General features: G+C 34.2%; 1 protein-coding gene across 1 annotated transcript, besides 1 other annotated feature; it reads left to right on the forward strand.

The window, feature by feature from the left end:
- Positions 3,376-3,528: a silencer, noted in NCBI's record as "fragment chr4:71086538-71086690 (GRCh37/hg19 assembly coordinates)". NCBI's record gives its function as "represses an EF-1alpha promoter that drives an FKBP-Casp9 reporter gene in an ReSE screen in K562 erythroleukemia cells {active_cell/tissue: K562}" and the evidence as "EXISTENCE:reporter gene assay evidence [ECO:0000049][PMID:32094911]".
- On the forward strand, positions 8,679-17,807 carry FDCSP (follicular dendritic cell secreted protein). Its single transcript, NM_152997.4, has 5 exons — positions 8,679-8,737; positions 13,750-13,806; positions 15,549-15,581; positions 16,575-16,770; positions 17,640-17,807. Exons 2-4 carry the CDS (start codon positions 13,750-13,752, stop codon positions 16,740-16,742), a joined length of 258 nt encoding a protein of 85 aa, NP_694542.1. The 5' UTR covers positions 8,679-8,737; the 3' UTR covers positions 16,743-16,770; positions 17,640-17,807.
- The last annotated feature ends 3,128 nt before the right edge of the window (positions 17,808-20,935 follow it).

Genomic DNA, 20,935 nt, shown 5'->3' on the forward strand with positions numbered 1-20,935 from the left:
TCAATAAAAAGCCAGGGATCCTTATCAGTTTCCTCCAAGTAGGTAGAACTCTAACTGCTTGCTCATCTCCACTGCAAAAGAAACTGCTGAAATGACTGCTCAGTTTTTTAGTTTTCCAGCTATTGGTTTGCCCTGGGATCCTCCTTAATATCTTGTCCTGCATGTGCATATTTTATGGTCACCCAAGGATTTGGGAGAAATACACACACAGATTTCAAGGCTCCTGATTCAGAAGTTCTCATCTTTATGGGACTTTTCCCCTCAGCCATTCCCGAACTCTCTCTTTTGATGCCTCAGGCTAAAAAGACTGTGACTTCCTTTTCGAAGTTTCTGCCCTCACACTCTGAAGCTGGGAAATGCCTATAAAGGAAAACACAAATAAACGTTTATCTGACATTTCTCTCAAAAATCAATTTCCTTGAGTTTCTGCCTATATTCCCTCATGTTCAATGCCTTCAAATTGTTGTTTATCATATTTTGTCCAGAGTTTATCATTATTAGGAACAGACAGTTTTAGGTCAACATAAGCTTTGTCATTACCAAAAGATGCAAGTCTACATTCTGAAGGTTTTCTCTCATAAGTATCTCTTCAATCGCTTTCTCTTTATCTTCATTGTCACTACTCTCCTAAAGGTCATCCTCATTGCTTAGGAGGATCGAGATATACAATGCTTTCATATTCTTTCTTCTAACAAAGAATGATCCGTTCAGAAATGGAAGCCTAATCATGTTCCTCCCTTCATTAAAACTATTCAATACCTTCCAATTGGTCTCTGTTTAAATTTCAAACTCTTTTATTTGGCTTAAAAGGTCCATAATCACTTGGTCCTGGTGATAAATGGTCTGCCATTTACCTTCGTTGATTATTACACTCTAGCCAAAGTAAACTCCTTTATACTCCATGAAATATGCCTTGTACCTGTGATCTCCAAAATTTCATACTCTGTTCCCTCTGTCTGGAACATTGCTCTTGATCCTCTTAATTTGGCTGATGCCTTATTGACTTTTACATCTTTACTTTTGTGTATTTCTATAGTGCTGAACTTCCTGAGTCATTTCACATATAAATTCTATTGTTATTTTTGTTTAATTTGTCTAAGAAGCTTTATAGCCTCTTATGGCTCTAGGAAGGTATGGACGATGTCTTCCCTGAATACTGTATTACAGTCCTATGCCTACTGCCTGGCATATAATTAAAACACGATAAATGATTAATGAATTAACAAATATAAACTACTTTGGAAACAACCTGATTTTATCCATAATTTCAAAACTTAAATGGCAAGGGTCAACAGCTGGGCAGTCACGTACTAATTTTCCCTAAGTCATAAGACATGAAAACTCTACCAAAACACTTTATATATCATATCAAATTTTATTAAGAATTATGTTGGGAAACCGAGCCGAGCAGGTCACGCAGTCAAGACATTGAAACCATCCTTGCCAACATGGTGAAACCCTGTCTCTACTAAAAATACAAAAATTAGCTGGGCGTAGTGGCACACACCTCTAGTCCCAGCTACTCGAGAGGCTGAGGCAGGAGAATCACTTGAAGCCGGGAGGCAGAGGCTGCAGTGAGCCAAGATCGCACCACTGCACTCCAGCCTGGTGACAGAGCGAGACTCCATCTCAAAAAAAAAAAAATTTTGGTTGGTTTCAAAACTTCACTTGTCTCTATCAAAAAGTACCACCTTTTAAAATATACGGTTATTATTTAAAGCATATAAAACTAAAAGACCACGTTGTAAACTAGTCTTTTGTTTAAACATATTTGAATGAAACCTCTCTTTTATTATAAAAATTGTTTTTAAAATAACAGCTAATGAAATTATTTAAAATTTTTGCCATCCCACTGTGATTCACTAAGTGGACTTTTCCCTAATTCATTTCATGTTCTGTGTGTTGTTGTTAGGAACTGACTCATTCTGAATTCCATTTACACAGTTTATAGATTTGTAATCTTAAATACCTAACTTTCTAAGCAAATTTTCTTCACCTATAAAATGCGGTAATTTTATAGTTTATCCTATGTACGTCTACGGTGAATGTATGTGCATATACACATACACTTGTTTGTGTGTGGGGGTGTGTGTGTATATAAAAAAGTGCTTGGCGGTTTCATAAGCATTTTGACAATGTTACCTTAAATAATACATAGCTAAGAGGTCATTATTTAATTATATGCATCCCTTAGGATTTAGTATAATTAGAATCTTTGTTAAATGCAAAAAAACTTCTTATACTTTGATAATTCAAAGATAAACATAACGGGACAAAAATGTAAAAGTTTGGACAATTAACGTGGTGAAGATCAGATATATATCCAAATGAGACTAGCAGCTCAAGTTTGTACTTTTGATATCAACACACTGCCATATAGAAAGCATCATTTTTGTTTAAATTGTTAGAGCTATGTGGCAAATAGGAAAACATGTTACTGTTATTTCAATGTGGAAAAAACTAAATGGCCGGGCACGGTGGCTCACACCTGTAATCCCAGCACTTTGGGAGGCCAAGGCAGGTGGATCACAACATCAAGAGTTCAAGACCAGCCTGGCCAAGATGGTGAAACCCCATCTCTACTAAAAATACAAAAATTAGCTGGTCATGGTCGTGGGCACCTGTAATACCAGCTGCTCGGGAAGCTGAGACACAGAATTGCTTAATACCAGTAGGCAGAGGTTGCAGTGAGCCGAGATCGTGCCACTGCACTCCAGCCTGGGCGAAGAGCGAGGAGACTCCTTCTAAAAAAAAAAAACTAAATGATTGCAAAAGGTTAAGAGATTTGTGCTAGTTAAATCAACTAGTGAGTAGATGGGAATGATTCAGACCCATATGCATGACTCCACAGGCCTCTTTCTTAAACCCTGCAAAAGGAGCTTGCAACTGGGAAAAATGTCTACTCAGCGGAGTCACAGGAAGACTGTCGACAGAGCTCCGTATAATACAGACATGGCACCAGTACAATAAACCATGTTTTATATCAAAATACTTATGTTCTAGTCAAACATTATAGAAAATATGTATGATAGTGTATAAAGGGGGTCTTCAATTTTTGGTGGATTTATATTTAAAGCAATATTAGTTTCAAATGGAGAAATTATATATTTTGCAAAGAGAAAGGGAAGTTTAGGAAAAGGTTACATAGGCTATTTGTAATATATGCAAAATATAGCCCTTTCTATCACTTAAGCCATATGAGGTATATAAAATTATTAATAAAACTTGATACACATTCAAATTATACTGGTAAAATCCAATCTTATGAGTGTGGGGTCAGTTAATAAGCAAGGCTTCTCAACTGTTGCCCTTCAGGCTTCAAGCTATGGTATAAATGATAAAAAAGCACCAAGAAATGTCCAAGGCAGGTACTGAGGAGCTTAAATCCTTCACTCAATATTTATGAAGCACATAGTTGGTGCCGATGTAAGCCGAGCCCATTTCAGTGAGCAGTACGGTGGACACGGGGCTGTCTGGCTGTGGCTCTGGCAGTTGTTAGTATGAAATCTGGGCATGAGAACTCTGCAACTACTTCCCTTTTTATAGCTAGGGCCAAGTATGCCCTGGAGATTTGGGAATTGACACCTCTTCAGATTCTACAACATTGACACACAGGGTTCTAATTATTTTGCAGGAATTCACAGACACTAAGTTGACTTTTAGTTGAACACATAATGTTAGGAGAGGCTTTAATGAGAATTCATGGATTAATTTGTATTTATTCTCTTAGAAAGTCTGTCATAAACTTCTTAAAATTAAAAATTGCTCCTTAGTATTGAGATATATGCAAACCTGATAAAGTTCAGATCATTTATCAGGATTTCCAATTCACAGCAGAGAAGGAGGATTGCCTAAAAGGTATGCATATTTTTAATTTTTGCAAACTGTATAGGCCAAAAGACGTGAAATAAAATATTTCTGCTCTCTTATTGATGTAATGGTGAGGAAGTCCACTGCGAAGGCTTCCCATAGTGGGCATTTCCCTAATACTAATGTCTAATCCTTTAATGATAATGGCGCCTTTGTATTTAGTAAGTTGCTTAACCTCTTCCAGTAGATAATTCTCATCCCTGTAACACCCAGTCTGAGAATATTATGGTTGAAAGGCAAATCACAGAGAGTTCATTTAATAAATTCCAATGACTACACAAAAATCCCCTCTGCTATAATTCAGCCTCTGGTCATCTATCCACTCCTTGAATATCTGCATAGATGGTGTTTTTGTTCTTTCAAAAGTTTTTTCTTATAATTTAATACCTTGATAAATTAGTTTTTACTTCTTCTGTCTGAATACCCCAAATAGACCTATGACTTTTTCATATGGCATGTCCGACCTCTTTCCTATGAAGCCACTCACAACTTTTCTTTCCAGTAAAACATCCTGGTTGCTGTTCCTTCAATTGCCCTTGCTTTTAAGGACAATCATGTGCTGAAGAATTTGCAGAGGGGATTTTTGTAGCTGTAACTTTTACATTGTTAGTCTTTTCTATATTTTGCATTCTTGCCAATTGAATTAAGATTCACACAAGAAAGCAACCCCAGCTTCTACTGCATAAATTAAGCCAAGATTACAGCTTGTTAGACAATACTTGGAGGTTGTGTGGAGGTCACATAACCATATGGCCAACTAGAAAGAATAATTACTCCTACCTGATACTGCTTGGTTTCAGAATTCTCCTACTTATATTCAGATTTAATTAACATATTAATCCCCTATCTTATTCCAATTACTACTTAAGTGGCTTTCATATACCTTTAGATTAGCCAGGGAACCTAAGTATCTAAGGACCCCTGAAAATGGGTGGCAGCAAGAAGTCTGATCTACTCAAAGCTACACTTAAAGGATATCCTGAACCAATGCCTCTGATGCTGCTGAAACCACCATTAATGATGTTAGACACATGATTAGTGCTTTTATACATTTCATTTCATTTTATTCTCAATTCCAGAGACAATTCCCTTTACAGATGAAAATTGAAACTCAGAAAGCCTGATTTGTCCACTTACAACTAATAAAGAGGAAGATTTAAATATCTAAACACAGTCTCATCAGTGAAATCTACAGTTCTTCCTAACTCATTTAGCTTGGAGCTATCCATCCTTGACTTCATTATTCCTACTGCCTCGTGGTGGCTAGAACTTTAGTAACAGGATAGTCTCGGATTTAGGCAACAACCTCCTGGCTTCATCAGAACTACCTATGAGCCAACACAAATGGGAGCCAAAGATCAAGAAAGCAAAAAGTGCTCACTAGAATCCAGTTCTATACAGGAAAGACGTACCAACATAAGAAATGTATAGCTTCTTTTTGTTAGATTTTCCTATCAAAGTACTTTTCTGAAGAAAATAATACAAACCTTCCACAAATCCAGAGTTGACAGCTTCACCTTGAAAATGAACCGCAAAGGTCATTTCAAGTGTTACTAATAACTAGAGAATGTTCAATGAAAACTGTTTATTCTCTTCCTAAATTACTCAAATTCACTTTTAAAATAATCTGTAAGGGGAGATTGTCCTAAAAAACTAGAAATTTTTATTTTCTTAAGAAGATAAACACATGGCTAAGAGAGGAATATTCCTTCAATTCAGCTAACAGTTATTTACTATCTGCAATGTGCATGACACAACATTTAATATTATTGATTCAACATATTAAACTAAATATTTAAAATACCTTTAGTTATACACCAAGGCATGAAAACTGAGTCTCATGATTTGCCTACATGTTTGCAAATGGATAAGGATCAGGCTTAATTTCTGAAAACTGTAACTATTTTTTTATGTAACTGAAAAAGAATGTCTTTCATACAAAATTCTGGGATAAATATTTTCATACTAAGTCATATTTGTATCCATTGGTGCAAAATTATATTATGAACAATAGCAACAGAAAGTATTGGCAGTTGTGCAGTGAACGCCATTATAACAACTTTCAATTTTTCATACAAATTAGCCTTTCTTTTTCTAGATTGGAGTTCTCTGATCTTCTTACTCCTCTCAAAACACAATTCCTTCTTGTTTTTCCAAGTATATTAGGAACTATTCAAATGCATATTCTTTGAACAACAAATATTTATTAATTACCTATTATAGGGCAATCATTATGCTAGGTATCTAACACCTAAGAATTTAAAATGCACCATCCTTGCCCTAATGGATCTTAGAAGCCAATGAGGAAGAAAATGTTTCAGTAAAATAATTTTCCCCAATATTTTATTTAAAAAAATGTAAACCTTCAAATGAGTAAGAATAATACACTGAGCAGTTCGTTTCATTTTCTAGATTGTTAGTATTCTGCCACTATTTAAATCCTTCTCTTTCCATTGAGAAATGAATTTTGTGGGTCACTAGAATTTAAGAGATATAAATTAGAAGAGAATGAAAGACACGTAAAAAACTAGTTTAGAACATAAATTTAAAAAAATGAAAATTTCAGTATGTTCCTCATGTAAACAATGTAAAAAATATTTTATTAAATCCTTGTCTCAGTTGTGTGTGTGTGTGTGTAGACTGAGTTATGATATATAATGCATTTTTTACTGTGGCTTTTATTTTAAAATTTTTGAAAGCCACATTAAGGATCATTATAGCATTACTGTGGAAGATAGCTTGAAGACAAAAATACTGCGGACAGGGACTCTATATAAGAGGCTACTGTAACACTCTAGTAAAGAATGAGAAACTAAACTAAGGAAAAGACAAAAAAGATGGAAGATATTTATTCCAGAGCATTATAAGAAGGAAAAAGTTAATGACCATTTGATGTGGAAGAGAAAGCACAAGAAAAAAATAGGATGAGTCTTAGATTGATTGCTTGGATAACTGAGTGATTGATGGTCATCAGCTGAAAGATTAAATAAAAGTGAGGAGCATATTAAGAGGGAAAAAGAGTAAGCTAGGTTTTGAATAGGTTGGGTTTGATGCTTATTCAGTTGGATACAAGATTCTGGGTAATTAGAGAAGAGTTTTAGCTGAAGGCATAGCTTAAGGAGTCAGAAGTAGATTACTTTATAAGAGAAAGTGAAGACTAAGAAGATAAATTGTCAAGTATAATAAATCAGAGAAAAAGAATCAGAAAATAAGACTTATGGTTTCTATTAAAAGAAAAAGAACATGAAAAATTGGCTTACAGAAGCCAAGGAAGAGAAAAATAGATTTCCAGATGGGCATAGTCACAGTTAAATGTCAAAAGAATTGAAGTAACACAAGGACAGAAAATCATTTATGGTTTTCACAATTCAGTGGCAATTGCCAACCTCCATTAGAGCTATTTCAGATAAAAGAAATTGAAGTAGAATAAATTGAACGACAGGTTTTAGGTAAGGAAATGGATAATACACACACACACACACACACACACACACACACACACACACACCTGTCATCCCCATCCCTGGGGAAATGTACTATGAGCCCCAAATTGGTCAAAATATGTACAATAACATAACAGGTTTAATATATTAAGTTTCTGATTCAGGCAGTTTTCTTTAAATCATTGAGATAAGATTAAACGTTGAGTTATAGGTGAAGGAAGTAGTTTAATGTTTCTCTGGCTTTGTGCTGATTTTTCTAACCTTCTGTTAACAGTGACAGTATAAGGCACCAGTTATAAATGTGGGTTTTAGAACCAAATTGCTGGTGCTCAATTCAATATCTGCCAGAGACTAGCTGTAATACCCAGACTGATTACTAATATTCTCTGCTTCTCAGTCTCAAAATGGGATGGTGTTGATCATAGTACTTTCCTCTTAAGGTGGTTGTTTGGGAGATTTAATTATATTATATATATAAAGCATTTAAATTTGTGCTTCAGCACTTAAAGTCCTCAAAAAAACTTACCTGCTATTATTTTTCTGAGTTGCCTTGAGAACTGAATTCTAGAAAAAATAAAAAGAAGAAAAGGGACTTTGATGCACTACTACTACAATCTGGACTATATAACCTCTTTTGAAGTAGAAATCGAACTCAATAACAGAATATTCTTAAAAGCTCTCGAATTAGTTAAAGCTCAAATTTTATGACTCTTGAAAAAGGCATATACAATATGCACGCATATTTAAGGTAATTCTTGAATGTTTTGTGGGCCCTAGTTTCTGTTCCCGCACTTAATAATGATACCTTTTCTGCTGTAAGTGAATTTTTAGTTGAGAAATAGAGTATAGTGTTCCATAAGGTAAACAAGATGCTGTGGTGCTCCAAAAATACAATTCACTCATCTACGAAGCTCTAATCCTGATAATAAAATGAAGAAGTTGAAAGAAGAATCATGCAAAAGATTTTAATCCCATCTTAAACAATTTTTAGATTTTTTATTTTCTTAAGATTCCAGCACTATCAAATATGCTTTGCAATAGGTTATAATCAATACCAGTAAAATGCTTAGAGGTATTTTAAATTGTGGGAAGTAAAGGAAAAAATTGTGAGAGTAGACAATGGAGCAACAACATGTAAAGTGATAAACTTCAAATATACAAGACACAAAATTTGGAGAAAAAAACCACAAAAGATTTTGGTATTTGGTAGTTTCTAGGAAACTAAACATTGGTTATTCCCCAATTTCAACATATTGAGATAGTTGATGAGTAATAACTGATCCTAGGGGAGAGGCCTTTAAGCCACAGATTTCTCCATTCCATTATACCTTTGAGTATATAAAACAGCTACAATATTCCAGGGCCAGTCACTTGCCATTTCTCATAACAGCGTCAGAGAGAAAGAACTGACTGAAACGTTTGAGGTAAGAAAGGTCTTAAATATCATTGTAAACTAAGATTGTATATCTATTTTGTAAATATAGATATATAGCATCTCTCCATATATTTTTCTTTAAATCATAAAAATTTTAATTGTTGAGACTAAATTGTAATGGTTGCTTGAATTTGTAGACTTAGTAATTAGAAAACCATTTTTAGTATTCTGTTTGCAAAACTTTTTTTAAAATCACCACCCTGCTGTAGTAAATATTTATTTTAGAGTGACCATAAATGAATCTTTCTAGGAGTGGAGCACTGGTGGGGGAGAGTGTGGACAGAGTGAAACAACAGAGCCTCAGGTTTATTTTTAAATTTGTGGCCATCAGGTCAGCAAACAGAGGGAATACGCCCCGCCAGAGATTCTCTAAAGTCTGAGCAAGTGCCAATTTCTTTGGCCTCCTCTTTTATCTTTAAAATATATACAGTACTTACATTCCATTCCATAACATTTTATGTTGATTTTAATATAAAAGTCATTTGTCTTTCCCATAAACTCTTGAATAAAATTAATTATCTAGGAAGATGCATCTGATTTATCTGGAGAATCATTTATTCTACAGCACGCAGCAATAAACTGCTATGGGTATCATGACTTGATAAGTATAAAAATAAAAGGAGATAGCTGGTAATTATGCTGTGTCCTGACTCTAAGATATGATCTGGAAGAGTCTGTAATGTGGATTATTTACTTATTTGCTTAATGTAGTTTTGAATAATTCTTGAAACCAGTTGAAAGAAATTATATTGTAAAGGCCCTGCTTGAATTCTATTCTCTCCAAAACTATTTTCTCAACCTGCCTCTTTCTTCTTCTAAATACTCAAAATATTTTGCAATTTCTACATATGGTATATATCACGCTTTTTTTTCACATTACAGAAATATCTGTATCCATCTTCCATGTGGAAGTCTCAAGTGGAAGAAATTATGCTTTATCATTGTATCCCTGAAAGCACCCAGCATTGTTGCTTTGCACATAGAAAGTGGACTATGTATATGTATGTGTGTGTCTGTGAGGAGTATGTGTGAGTGTGTGCATGTGTGTGTTTGTATAATTTTTACTCTTGATTTCCTACATTAACAATCTGCCTGTAGAAGTCTGAACTTGACCGGAATTTTACATTCCTGTCTTCTCAAAATTATTAGATTATCTGGTACTTTTTTGAATTTGAATTCAAATTTTGATTAGTATCAGAAAATAAAGGCAGAGATCAAAACTTTGCTACATTTTTTACACTGCGTTCTTTTGTCTCATAGATGTATAGGAAACATCAAAAGGTGATAAAATTTCCCTAGAATCTCCACTATCTCAAAGGTACTTCAAAATGATAATGATATTAAAAATTGACATTTTCCCCAATGTAAAATATTAAATTAAATAGTCTTTAAAAAGCTTTGTAATGTATTTACTTATAACAATGTAACAGTGAGCTTAAAAGATCCATAAATCAGGGACTTTCCAAACTGATATTACAGGCAAACTTCAGAGATACTGCAGGTTCAGTTCTTGACCACCACCATAGAATGAGTATCAAAGTTAGGCAGGTCAAATGAATTTCTTGGATTCCCAGTGTACATAAAAGTTATGATTACACTACAGCATTGTATGTTAAGTGTAATAGCAGTATGTCTAGAAAAACAACATACATATCTTAATTAAAACATACTTTATTGCTCAAAAATGCTAACAATTATCTCAGTCTTCACTGAGTCATAATCTTTTTGCTGGTGTAGGGTCTTGCCTTGATGTTGATGGCTGCTGAATGATCAGGGTGATGGTTCCTGAAGGCTAAGCTGGCTGTGGCAATTTCTTAAAATAAGTCAACAATGAAGTTTGACACACAGATTGACTCTTCCTTTCACAAAAGATTTCTCTGTAGCATGCGATGTTGTAGCATTTTGGAGCATGTGAAGCATTTTGCCCACAGTATTTCTTTCAAAATGGGACTCAACCCTTGCAAACCCTGCCACTGCTTTATCAATTAAGTTTATGTAGTATTTTAAATCATTTACTGTCATTTGAAAAATATTCACAGCATCTTCACCAGGAGTAGATTCCATCTCAAGAAACCACTTTCTTTGCTCATCCATAAGAAGCCATTTTTCATTCATTCAAGTTTTACCGTTAGATTGAAGCAATTAAGTCACATGTTCAAGCTTCACTTCTAATTCTAGTTCTCTTGCTATTTCCACCACATCTGCAAGTTACTTCCTCCACTGAAGTCTTGAATCCCTCAAAGTCATCCACAAGAGTTGGAATCAACTTCTCCCAAACTCCTGTAATGTTGATATTTTGGCCTCCTCCTATGAATCACAAATGGTCTTAATGGCATCTGGAGTGGTGTATATTTTACAGAAGGTTTTTAATTTACTTTGCCCAGATCCATCAAATAAATCACTATCTGTGCCAGCTATAGCCTTACAAAATGTATTTATTTAATAATGAAACCTGAAAGTCAAATTTACTCTTTGATCCATAGGCTGCAGAATGGATGTTGTGTTAGCAGGCATGAAAACAACATTCATCTCTTTGTACATCTGCTTCAGAGTTCTTGGGGGCTCAGGTACATTTTCAATGAATGGCAATATTTTGAAAAAAACATTTTTTCCTAAGAAGTGAGCTGAAAATATTAGTAAACCATGCTGTGTTAGATGTACTGCCATCCAGGCTTTGTTGTTCCATCCACAGAGCACAGGAAGAGTAGATTTAGTATAATTCTTAAGGGCACTACGATTTTCTAAATGATAAATGAGCATTGGCTTCAATTTAGGAAACCAGCTCTATCCCTTTAAAAGAGTCAGCCTGTCCTTTGAAGCTTTGAAGCCAGGCATTGTTTTCTTCTCTTTAGCTATGAAAGTTCTAGATGGTATCTTTCTCCAAAATAAGACTGTTTCGTCCACAATAAAAATCTATTATTTATTGTAGTGTTCTTAGATAGATTTTCTGGATAACACTGCAGCCTCTATATCAACACTTGCTGCTTTACCTTGCACTTTTATGTTATAGCCAATCTCTGCTAGCTTCCAACTTTTCATCTGCAGTTTCTTCACATCTCTCAATCTTTGTATAATTAAAGAGCATAGGGGCCTTCTTCTAGATTAGGCTTCTGCTTAATAAAATGTGCTGGCTGGTTTGATCTATCCAGACAACTAAAAACTTTCTCCATGTTGGGAATAAGACTCTTTCGCTTTCTTGTCATTCCTGTGTTCATTGTAGTAGCACTTTTAATTCCCTTCAAAACTTTTCCTTCGCATTCACAACTTGGCTAACTAGTTGTTGCAAGATCCTAGCTTTCAGCTTATCTTGGCTTTTGACATTCCTTCTTCACTAAATCGTTTTTACCTTTTGATGTAAAGTAGGAGACATGCGACTCTTCCTTTCACTAGAACACTTAGAAGGCATTGTAGGGTTATTAACTGGCCCAGATTTAATATTATCATGTCTCAGGAAATAGAAAAGCCTGAGGAGAGGAAGAGATAACTGGGGGCATGGCCAGTGAGTGGAGCAATCGAAACATTCACAAGATTTATCAAATAAGTTTGCCACTTATTTTTCCCATAACACCCCCAAATAATTAGATCAAAGTAACACCACCAAAGACCACTGATCACAGATCACCATAAAAGATATAATAAAATATTATTACATCTTTATAATGTCTTATAGATATCAAAATATCTTATAATACTGAAAACTTTAAAATATTGCTAGGATTACCAAAATATGACACAGAGACATGCAGTGAGCATGTGCTGTTGGAAAAATGGTGCTGATAGACTTGCTCGATGCCGGATTGCCACAAATTGCCACTCAATTAGTAAAAAACAAGATATGTATGAAGTGCAATAAAATGAGGTGTGCCTGTATATACACAACACCTAGAATAACATCTCATGCTTAGTCAGTTATCAAGAAAACCTTTATAAACTAATAAATTAACAAATATGAGGCAAATTTCAAGTAAAGTCCCCTAGCCAATCTCCATTTTCAACTTGATTGCCTTTCCCAGAACCCCCCACATATTCTTTAGCACATACTGCATTCACACCATGACAAAGAAGAGGATTAATGCCTAATGATACCATCCAATATGGAAGATTTCCCATTATTATTTGAAATCAAGTAATATGCACATGTTTATTGTATTAATGACAAATATTTATAAATGCAAATGTTCTGTTTCATTGTGTACTCCATTATAAAATTATTGAATAAATCTTTAATTTAGCTCAGTTTTCTCAAATATAATATTAACAATATTGTAACTGATACATTTTAACAGTGTGTGTAATATGATAAGGAATCTACAGTGAAAATTAAAATACAATAAAATGCTTTGGAAAGTCCTTTATCATTTATTAAATAATAAAACTTGAAAGTCAAAATTACTCTATGATCCATGGACTGCAGGATGGATTTTGTGTTAGCAGGCAAGAAAAGAGATCCTTCTTCACATCGTGGATTTTTGGGGGTTGCCTGGAACCAGTGCAAATAAATCTGTCACCTACATTACTTTCATGGACATTAGTATATGGAATGTTGAACTCTCTGAGATCACTAAATAACCGCTTACTTCCAAACTAACATTCTCTGTATAAACCAATGCATTATTTCTTCCAGAAACTTTTCTGTGATTATCAAGTATGTAGAAGTGTTATTCTTTTATTTTTTATTTTAAGTTCAGGGATACATGTGTAGGTTTGTTACATAGGAATTAGTATTCTTAAATAATATGTTAATGTTTATTTTTAAAGCAATTGGTGTAATATAGTTATGAAATTACAAAGCTCCTTTGCTTTGACCTTTAAAAAGTTCTTTATTAACAAATAGATTGATTCCCTAAGATTGTAAGTGACTTGCTCAAACTCAAAGAGCTATTTGTCAAATAATTCGTACTTTAACTGGATCTTTTAAATTCATGGTCTTTTAGCTGACTTCTAGGATATTTATGAATAAAATGAAAGTTCTTCTTATTTTTTATTTACTCCATTTTGCAGATGAAGAAAGTTCTCCTCCTGATCACAGCCATCTTGGCAGTGGCTGTTGGTTTCCCAGTAAGTATCCACGTATACATTCCAAAATATTTATGTATGGCCATGTATGGCATATTTATGTCAACCAGGAACCACATACACAAGGGTGGTCCCAAAAGATTATAACAGAGCTACCAAGTGCAGTGGCTTACGCCTGTATTCCCTGTAATTTGGGAGGTCAAGGCAGGAGAATCACTTGAGCCCACAAGTTCAAGACCAGCCTGGGCAACATAGCAATCCCCTCTCTATAAAAAAAAATATATATATAATGAACCTAATGACATTGTGGCCATCATTATGTCATAGGGCAATGCATTAGTCATGTGTTCATGTGTTTGAGATGATGCTGGTGTAAACAAACCTACCCTCTGCCAGTCATATAAGAATAGAGCACAAAAAATTATGCACAGTTCATAATAATAAACAACTATGTTACTGGTTTGTGTATTAATTATACTATGCTTTTATCATTATTTTAGAGTTAACTCCTTCTACTATTTTTTAAACATTAACTGTAAAACAGCCTCAGACAGGTCCTTCAGGAGGTATTCCATAAGAAACCATTATTGTCATAGGAGATGATAGTTCCACATGTCTAACTGCCCCTGAAGATCTTCCAGTAGGAAAAGATGGGGAGGTGGAAAGCAGTGACATTGATGACCCTGACCCTCTGGAAGCCTAAGCTAATGTATATGTTTATGTCTCAGTTTTAAACAAAATAGTTTAAAAGTAAAAAAGAAAAAGCATATAGAATAAGGATACAAAGAGTGAAAGTATTTTTGTACAGCTGTAAAATGTGTTTGTTTTAAGCTAAGTGTTATTACAAAAGAGTTAAAGTAAAATAGTTATAGTAAGCTAAGGTTAATTTATTATCAAGGGAAGAAAAAGATGTTTTTATAAGGTTAGTGTAGTGTAAGTGTACAGTGTTTACAAAGTCCACAGGAGTAAACAGTAATGTCCTAGGCCTTCATATACAATAACTCACTTACTAACTCACACAGAGCAACTTCCAGTCCTGAAAGCTTTATTTATGGTACATAACCTATACAAGTGTATAGGTATAAAGGATACCATTTTCCATCTTTTATACTGTATTTTTTACTGTACCTTTTCTATGTTTAGCTATGTCTTAGATATGTTTAGATATACAAATACTTACCACTGTGTTACAACTGCTTACAGTATTCAGGATAGTAATATGCCATACAGTTTTGTAGTCTAGGAGTAAGAGACTATACTGTCTAGCTTAGTTATGTAGTAGGCTATACCACCTAGGTTTGTGTAAGGACACTCTATGATGTTCACATGATGAAATCGCTGAACTACCCATTTCTCATAACTTATCTCTGCTGTTAGGCAATGCATGACTCTATATTTTGTCTTGATTCATGAATCTTAAGGGTTTTTTTCTCCTTCACAGGCTGTATTCTGTAAGAATACCTAACACACACGCTGTATTCTGTAAGAATACCTAACACCTGCCCTTTTATCATTACAGTCCAGAAAATACTATAAACCATATACTGTTCAGTGCATAATTCAGTTCCACATATCTTTGGTGTAGTGGTGAATTTGAGCCATTTAAGAATACATGTTAAGACTTTTTGGGAAAATCATTTCTACATTTCTAGACAAATTATGGGTATTTTAAAAAATGGTTATTATGAAACAATATTAGGTAATAGATTGTCATGCATATGTATATATTTATTTGTGTGTTTTCATGAGCATGAGTTTAATTAATTTCACTATTTGATCTTTAGGTCTCTCAAGACCAGGAACGAGAAAAAAGAAGTGTAAGTTACCTTTTCTCTTTTTTACATGTAAGTTTTACACGTGAAATATTCATAACTATTGTTAAAGATATTGATTTATCTAAACCTCCCAAACTGTGGAGAGATTCATAAAGAGCTTTTGGTATTAGCACTCAACAGAGGTTTAGACTTCAGGTATTTGAGCTCTGCTCATAGAAAGGAAATTATCTCCATATCTCATGTCACGGTAAAAATTGGATTGAAATCCGAATCACTCTGTGATGATTTGGGTTGCAATATTTTTTACTAGATTTATCTAGCCTAATAACTCAGACCTCCACTCTGCCATAGCTCTATGAAACTCATTTCAAAAAAAGTAAAAAATGAAACCTGAGCATTAAGAGATGTGGGCCAGCTTTGATGATCCTCCCAGTGGCAAATTCACTCATGGATTATTTGGGTCTAAACAGTTAACTAAAATTGTTTAATAAAAGGAAAATAAAATTTGAAGAGGGAAAGCCTTGTTTAAAGGTTTGTTTTTATTTATGGAAATCCTGTTATCTGGAAAGCATGATTTTATCGCAAAAACTACAAACAGAGAGTTAAGAATACAAAAATTAATAGAGACACAAACAGATAATTGAGAGCAAAAGCAGGAAGAAGGAACTGAGATAATGAAAGAGAGAAGTTGTTTCCTACATGTGGTTTGGGTAAAGACCTTGCATGAAGACAAAGGGAGAAATTTTATGGTACCGCAACACCACATTCATCTTGGCCTTGTAGGTAAAGAAGTGATTGCCAGAAAAACTTGCCTTTAACTGGAAAGGTATAGGAACATGAGTATCTCTAAATAATTTTTAAATGATGCAAATTAATAAACTCCCTGTCCATAGTACACACAGAAAGGATAAAGGATTTTAGAGCTTCTAAAGCCTCTTCCTAAAAATAAAGGCCCATTATTTAAAAAGCAAAGCTGTTTTATTTCTCTTCTTTGTAAAAAGTGAAATAAACCCTTTAACTTCTTTCTTTCAACAGATCAGTGACAGCGATGAATTAGCTTCAGGGTTTTTTGTGTTCCCTTACCCATATCCATTTCGCCCACTTCCACCAATTCCATTTCCAAGATTTCCATGGTTTAGACGTAATTTTCCTATTCCAATACCTGAATCTGCCCCTACAACTCCCCTTCCTAGCGAAAAGTAAACAAGAAGGAAAAGTCACGATAAACCTGGTAAGTACACATAGTTACAATCATAGTTTATTTTAAGTTTGCAGATTGGAATCCATAATTTCAAGGAAAAAAAAATGTTAACTATGTCCCTAGTTGGCCCCTTTCAGTTTCTGTTTGTTTTAATGTTTTTCTCTGGTAGATACTGTCACGTGTGTCCACTCAGAAATACACATGTGCCCTTCCATGATCTAACCAGCACAGCACTTTAAATCCCTCCTTGGTTGTGATGTAACAGAAACAATTTCAATTTTATTAAAATATTGTTTACAAAGTATTTGTAACTCTTTATACTATTGTCAATAACTGCATTTTGGACTGAATCAGAGTAACCAAGGTGGAGATCATAGTAGATGAAGTTATGGGCCTAGAGTTTAAAGTAGACCAGCTTAGCCCTTAGAGAAACATGTAATTTTTCTAATACTAAAACTCCAAACCTAGCTTCCAAGTGTCACATTATAGTAAAATTTTAAAGGCTTCATGCTTCACCTATAACAGTGGCCCCTGTCATTTCATCACATCAAAAACAAAGTGGATGGTGTGTCAATTACTAGATAAATTGAGGAAATATAATCTATACTATAGACTATAGATCTAATCTACTATAATAATTTATAATTTAATATATATAATTTAATCTTATCTAAGATTAAATTAGAACCCAGAGGACTGTTCTAGGAAAAAAATATTTCAGCTACTACTTACCACTAAAGACCTTTGCTTTCTTTCTACATCTTGAGCAGATGGTTTCCCAGTCCTTGAACTAGATATATTTTTAAGCCAATAGTTGTCATTAAAATGCAGAAAATGTATATGTTTCCAAGAAAATGACCCATTGCAATTAATAACCATATGTCTGTTATTTATTTCAGGTCACCTGAAATTGAAATTGAGCCACTTCCTTGAAGAATCAAAATTCCTGTTAATAAAAGAAAAACAAATGTAATTGAAATAGCACACAGCATTCTCTAGTCAATATCTTTAGTGATCTTCTTTAATAAACTTGAAAGCAAAGATTTTGGTTTCTTAATTTCCACAAATTCCATGATTAGTACTCAATTTGTTTTCAATCTTCAGCAATCCCCTGAAGAAGGAAGAGGTGGCAGGTGGTGATAAAAATAAACTGTCCTACAGCATGTGACAAAAGTCATCCAACAAGATTCTACTTGCACAATAAGCCTTTCAGTGGGTCAGAATGACTGCCTTTGTCTCCATAAGTTGATTATCAGGAAATTAGAAAAATTCTCTTTGAATAAAGATTATGTTTCTTCACCTTAAGTTTAAATTGTTCATAGCTGAGCCCCTTAGCATCAATAATGGAAATTCTGCCACCATTCATCCATAACTGGCTACAAATCAAAGTCAGCCTAATGAGCCACTTGGCACTTGAGTAGGGAAATGGCTGACTCCCTTCGTCACTTTCAGGGATTACAGGTACCTCAAACATTTAAATATTTATTGGCATTAAAGTCAGTGATCCCAATTAAAATATGGGAAAGACAGCAAGAAAACCAAACAGTCATCAATATAATTTGGTAAATTAATTTTATAGGCATTGTTTCCTAACTTTACGGCTGATAGATTGGAGGCAACTGCATGACCCGGGAGAGGCAGTCATGGGAAAATAAGATAGAGGGGCAGGGAGAACAAAGGCAATCAGAGCCCTGAAGAGGGGCCAAAGACAAATGGTTGCTCTGAAATGTGGAAGAGTCAGCTCTGCAAGTAATCTACTGTGCCACTAATCTACTATCTAATCTAATCTATCCCACTTTTTTGTTTCATTAAAAGTCTTTGACATCTCTCCTTAACTCTCAGATTAGAGCTTTTATTTTATCTGCCTCATTTTATGTCACAATAACTTTCTGAAGAAAAAACAACTCTGGCATTTACTTTTAACTACTAGATTTGTTTCTATTAAAATTAATCAACTATTTCCCCCACCCAGTGAATTTGGGCATTATTCTTGAATACTGTAATTAGAAAACAACAGGGAGTATCTGTGTATTTACATACAGAAAAATACAGTAAAATGTGGTATAAAAGATTTTTTAAAATGATACCACTATATACGGTACTTATACCCTATATAGGCCTCTAGGCCTGGAATTTGCTCTGGGTGAGTCAGTAAGTGAGTGGTGATTAAATGTGAAGGCCCAGGACATTACTGTACACTACTGTGAACCTTATAAATACTGCAAACTTAGGCTACTCTAAATTTATGAAAACATATTTTTCTTTCTTCAATAATGAATTAAGGTACAAAAATATCTTTAGAATATAAAGATACAAAAAAAGACACAAAAACATCTTTATTCTTTATATCCTCATTCTATAAGTTTTCTCTACTGTTAAATATAAATACTTTTTTTACTTTTAAACTTTTTTGTTTAAAACCAAGACACAAACATACATATTAGCCTAGGCCTACCCAGGGCCAGGATTATCAAGACATCCCTAGCAACAAGAGTTTTTCAGCTCCATTATAATCTTATGAGATGACCATCATAGATAGTTAGGCATTGACCAAAACACTGTTATACAGCGCATGACTATACTTATTTTTTGTCAATTGTCGTGCTAAATACTGGCGATTTGGGGAAAATATTGTTGTGCTAAATACTAGTGATTAAGAAAAAAGATTCTCTTTAATGATCTTACAGGTTAGATAGGGGAGATAAACATATACAAAATTTCAAGAAATGTAATAAATGCTCCAAAAAATTACAGAGCTTTTTGTTTTAAAGCAGAGGAGAAACTAGCTCTGCCTACACAAATTAGGAAAGGTCCCACAGGTGACTTTGAGTTGAACTTTAATGGATACATAGGTTACTGACAGGGAAATAGGCACAAATTAGATGCTGAATAGATATTTACTAGATAAGCTCTACACTCAAATTGGTATTTTTGCTTGTTGCTTTTATTTTCTTTTTGTTTTTTTTATTGAAAACGGATATTTTTAACGATGTTTATTTTCATTGGACAAAGACAAAAGAGCAAAAGATGGGAGTGAAATACTTTAAAACATATTTCTAATAAATATATAAAGTTCTATTAATCTTAGGAACAACCTCTAACCTGAGAAGCAAAAGATAAACATCTTAATAATATTCTTGTTCACTAAATAACATTTCTACCAATTTTTCATGCAGATACAGAGCAAATATAACCTGATGAGTTATTTCCTTATGAAAGTAGCTAATATATCTAGGAGACAGTATTTATTTAGACTTCTATGTCAATTCAATAATACCCGGGCAGAGTTGAAACTCTGGCCAAAGCCATGGGCATCAAACCAAGGTAGCTGAAGGACACTAACAGCAATACAGCAAGGTGAACAGCAAGGCATGGACCACCTATTGGATGCTCCCCACAATCGCTTAAGGAAGCTTCTACTTCCCCTCAAGTATCCAAGACTTTAGCACGGGAATGAAATAAGAGCACAGAGACACACTGAATTCTAATTGCCGTCACTCTAAATGAGAGCCCAGCTAGAGACCAGTCTCCCCAACAGTCAGGAGAAGACCAGTTCTAATACACTCACAGGAGAACAGAGCCCAGAAAAATCCAACCCTCATCCACATGTTCTAACTCTTCTATGAAGTAAGTTAGAATTCAAGGGGAAAACAGATAATATGACTGCCCACTTTAGAAGTTCTTCTTGACTAGGTTCTGGCCTCATGCAGAGGAAAGTAGTAATTCCAAAACATTGATCTGCATAAAAAATTATTTAGTTTCTTATTTGTTCTTCAGATTTCTAGGAACATTCCTGCTCTGAAAATTTTGACTCCGTGTTGTGGGATTAGGCAGGAATTTGCAACTTGAACAAGTAGTACAGATAATTAATCATTTGCTCAAAAAGTATTTGTCTAATATGTGCCAAGCACAGGTTTAGAGACTGGGACTATTATTTTCTAATGGAAAAGGACAGGAAATAGTAAATGAACATATATAAGTTAAAAAACATTTTATATTGTAATATGTTATGAGGAAAATAAAAGGTAAAATAATAAAGTGTTTGAAGAAGTATTTAGACAAACTGCCAAGGAAAGCCTCTCTGAAATGAAGACATTTGAGCTGAATCCCAAATAATACAGGCAACATTACTGAGAATTGAGGTAAGAACATTCCAGAGACCATGAATATAAATGGAAGTTCCTGATTTAGGAGA

The sequence above is a fragment of the Homo sapiens genome, chromosome 4, assembly GCF_000001405.40.
Source record: "Homo sapiens chromosome 4, GRCh38.p14 Primary Assembly".
In the NCBI taxonomy this organism is placed as follows: Eukaryota; Metazoa; Chordata; class Mammalia; order Primates; family Hominidae; genus Homo; species Homo sapiens.

Bases quoted from the DNA above. Each gene is read 5' to 3' on its own strand.
- FDCSP (NM_152997.4), top strand. From the start codon at position 13,750: ATGAAGAAAGTTCTCCTCCTGATCACAGCCATCTTGGCAGTGGCTGTT. The intron at 13,807-15,548 runs GTAAGTATCCAC...TTTGATCTTTAG, and splicing joins CAGTGGCTGTTGGTTTCCCA to GTCTCTCAAGACCAGGAACG. The intron at 15,582-16,574 runs GTAAGTTACCTT...TTCTTTCAACAG, and splicing joins AGGAACGAGAAAAAAGAAGT to ATCAGTGACAGCGATGAATT.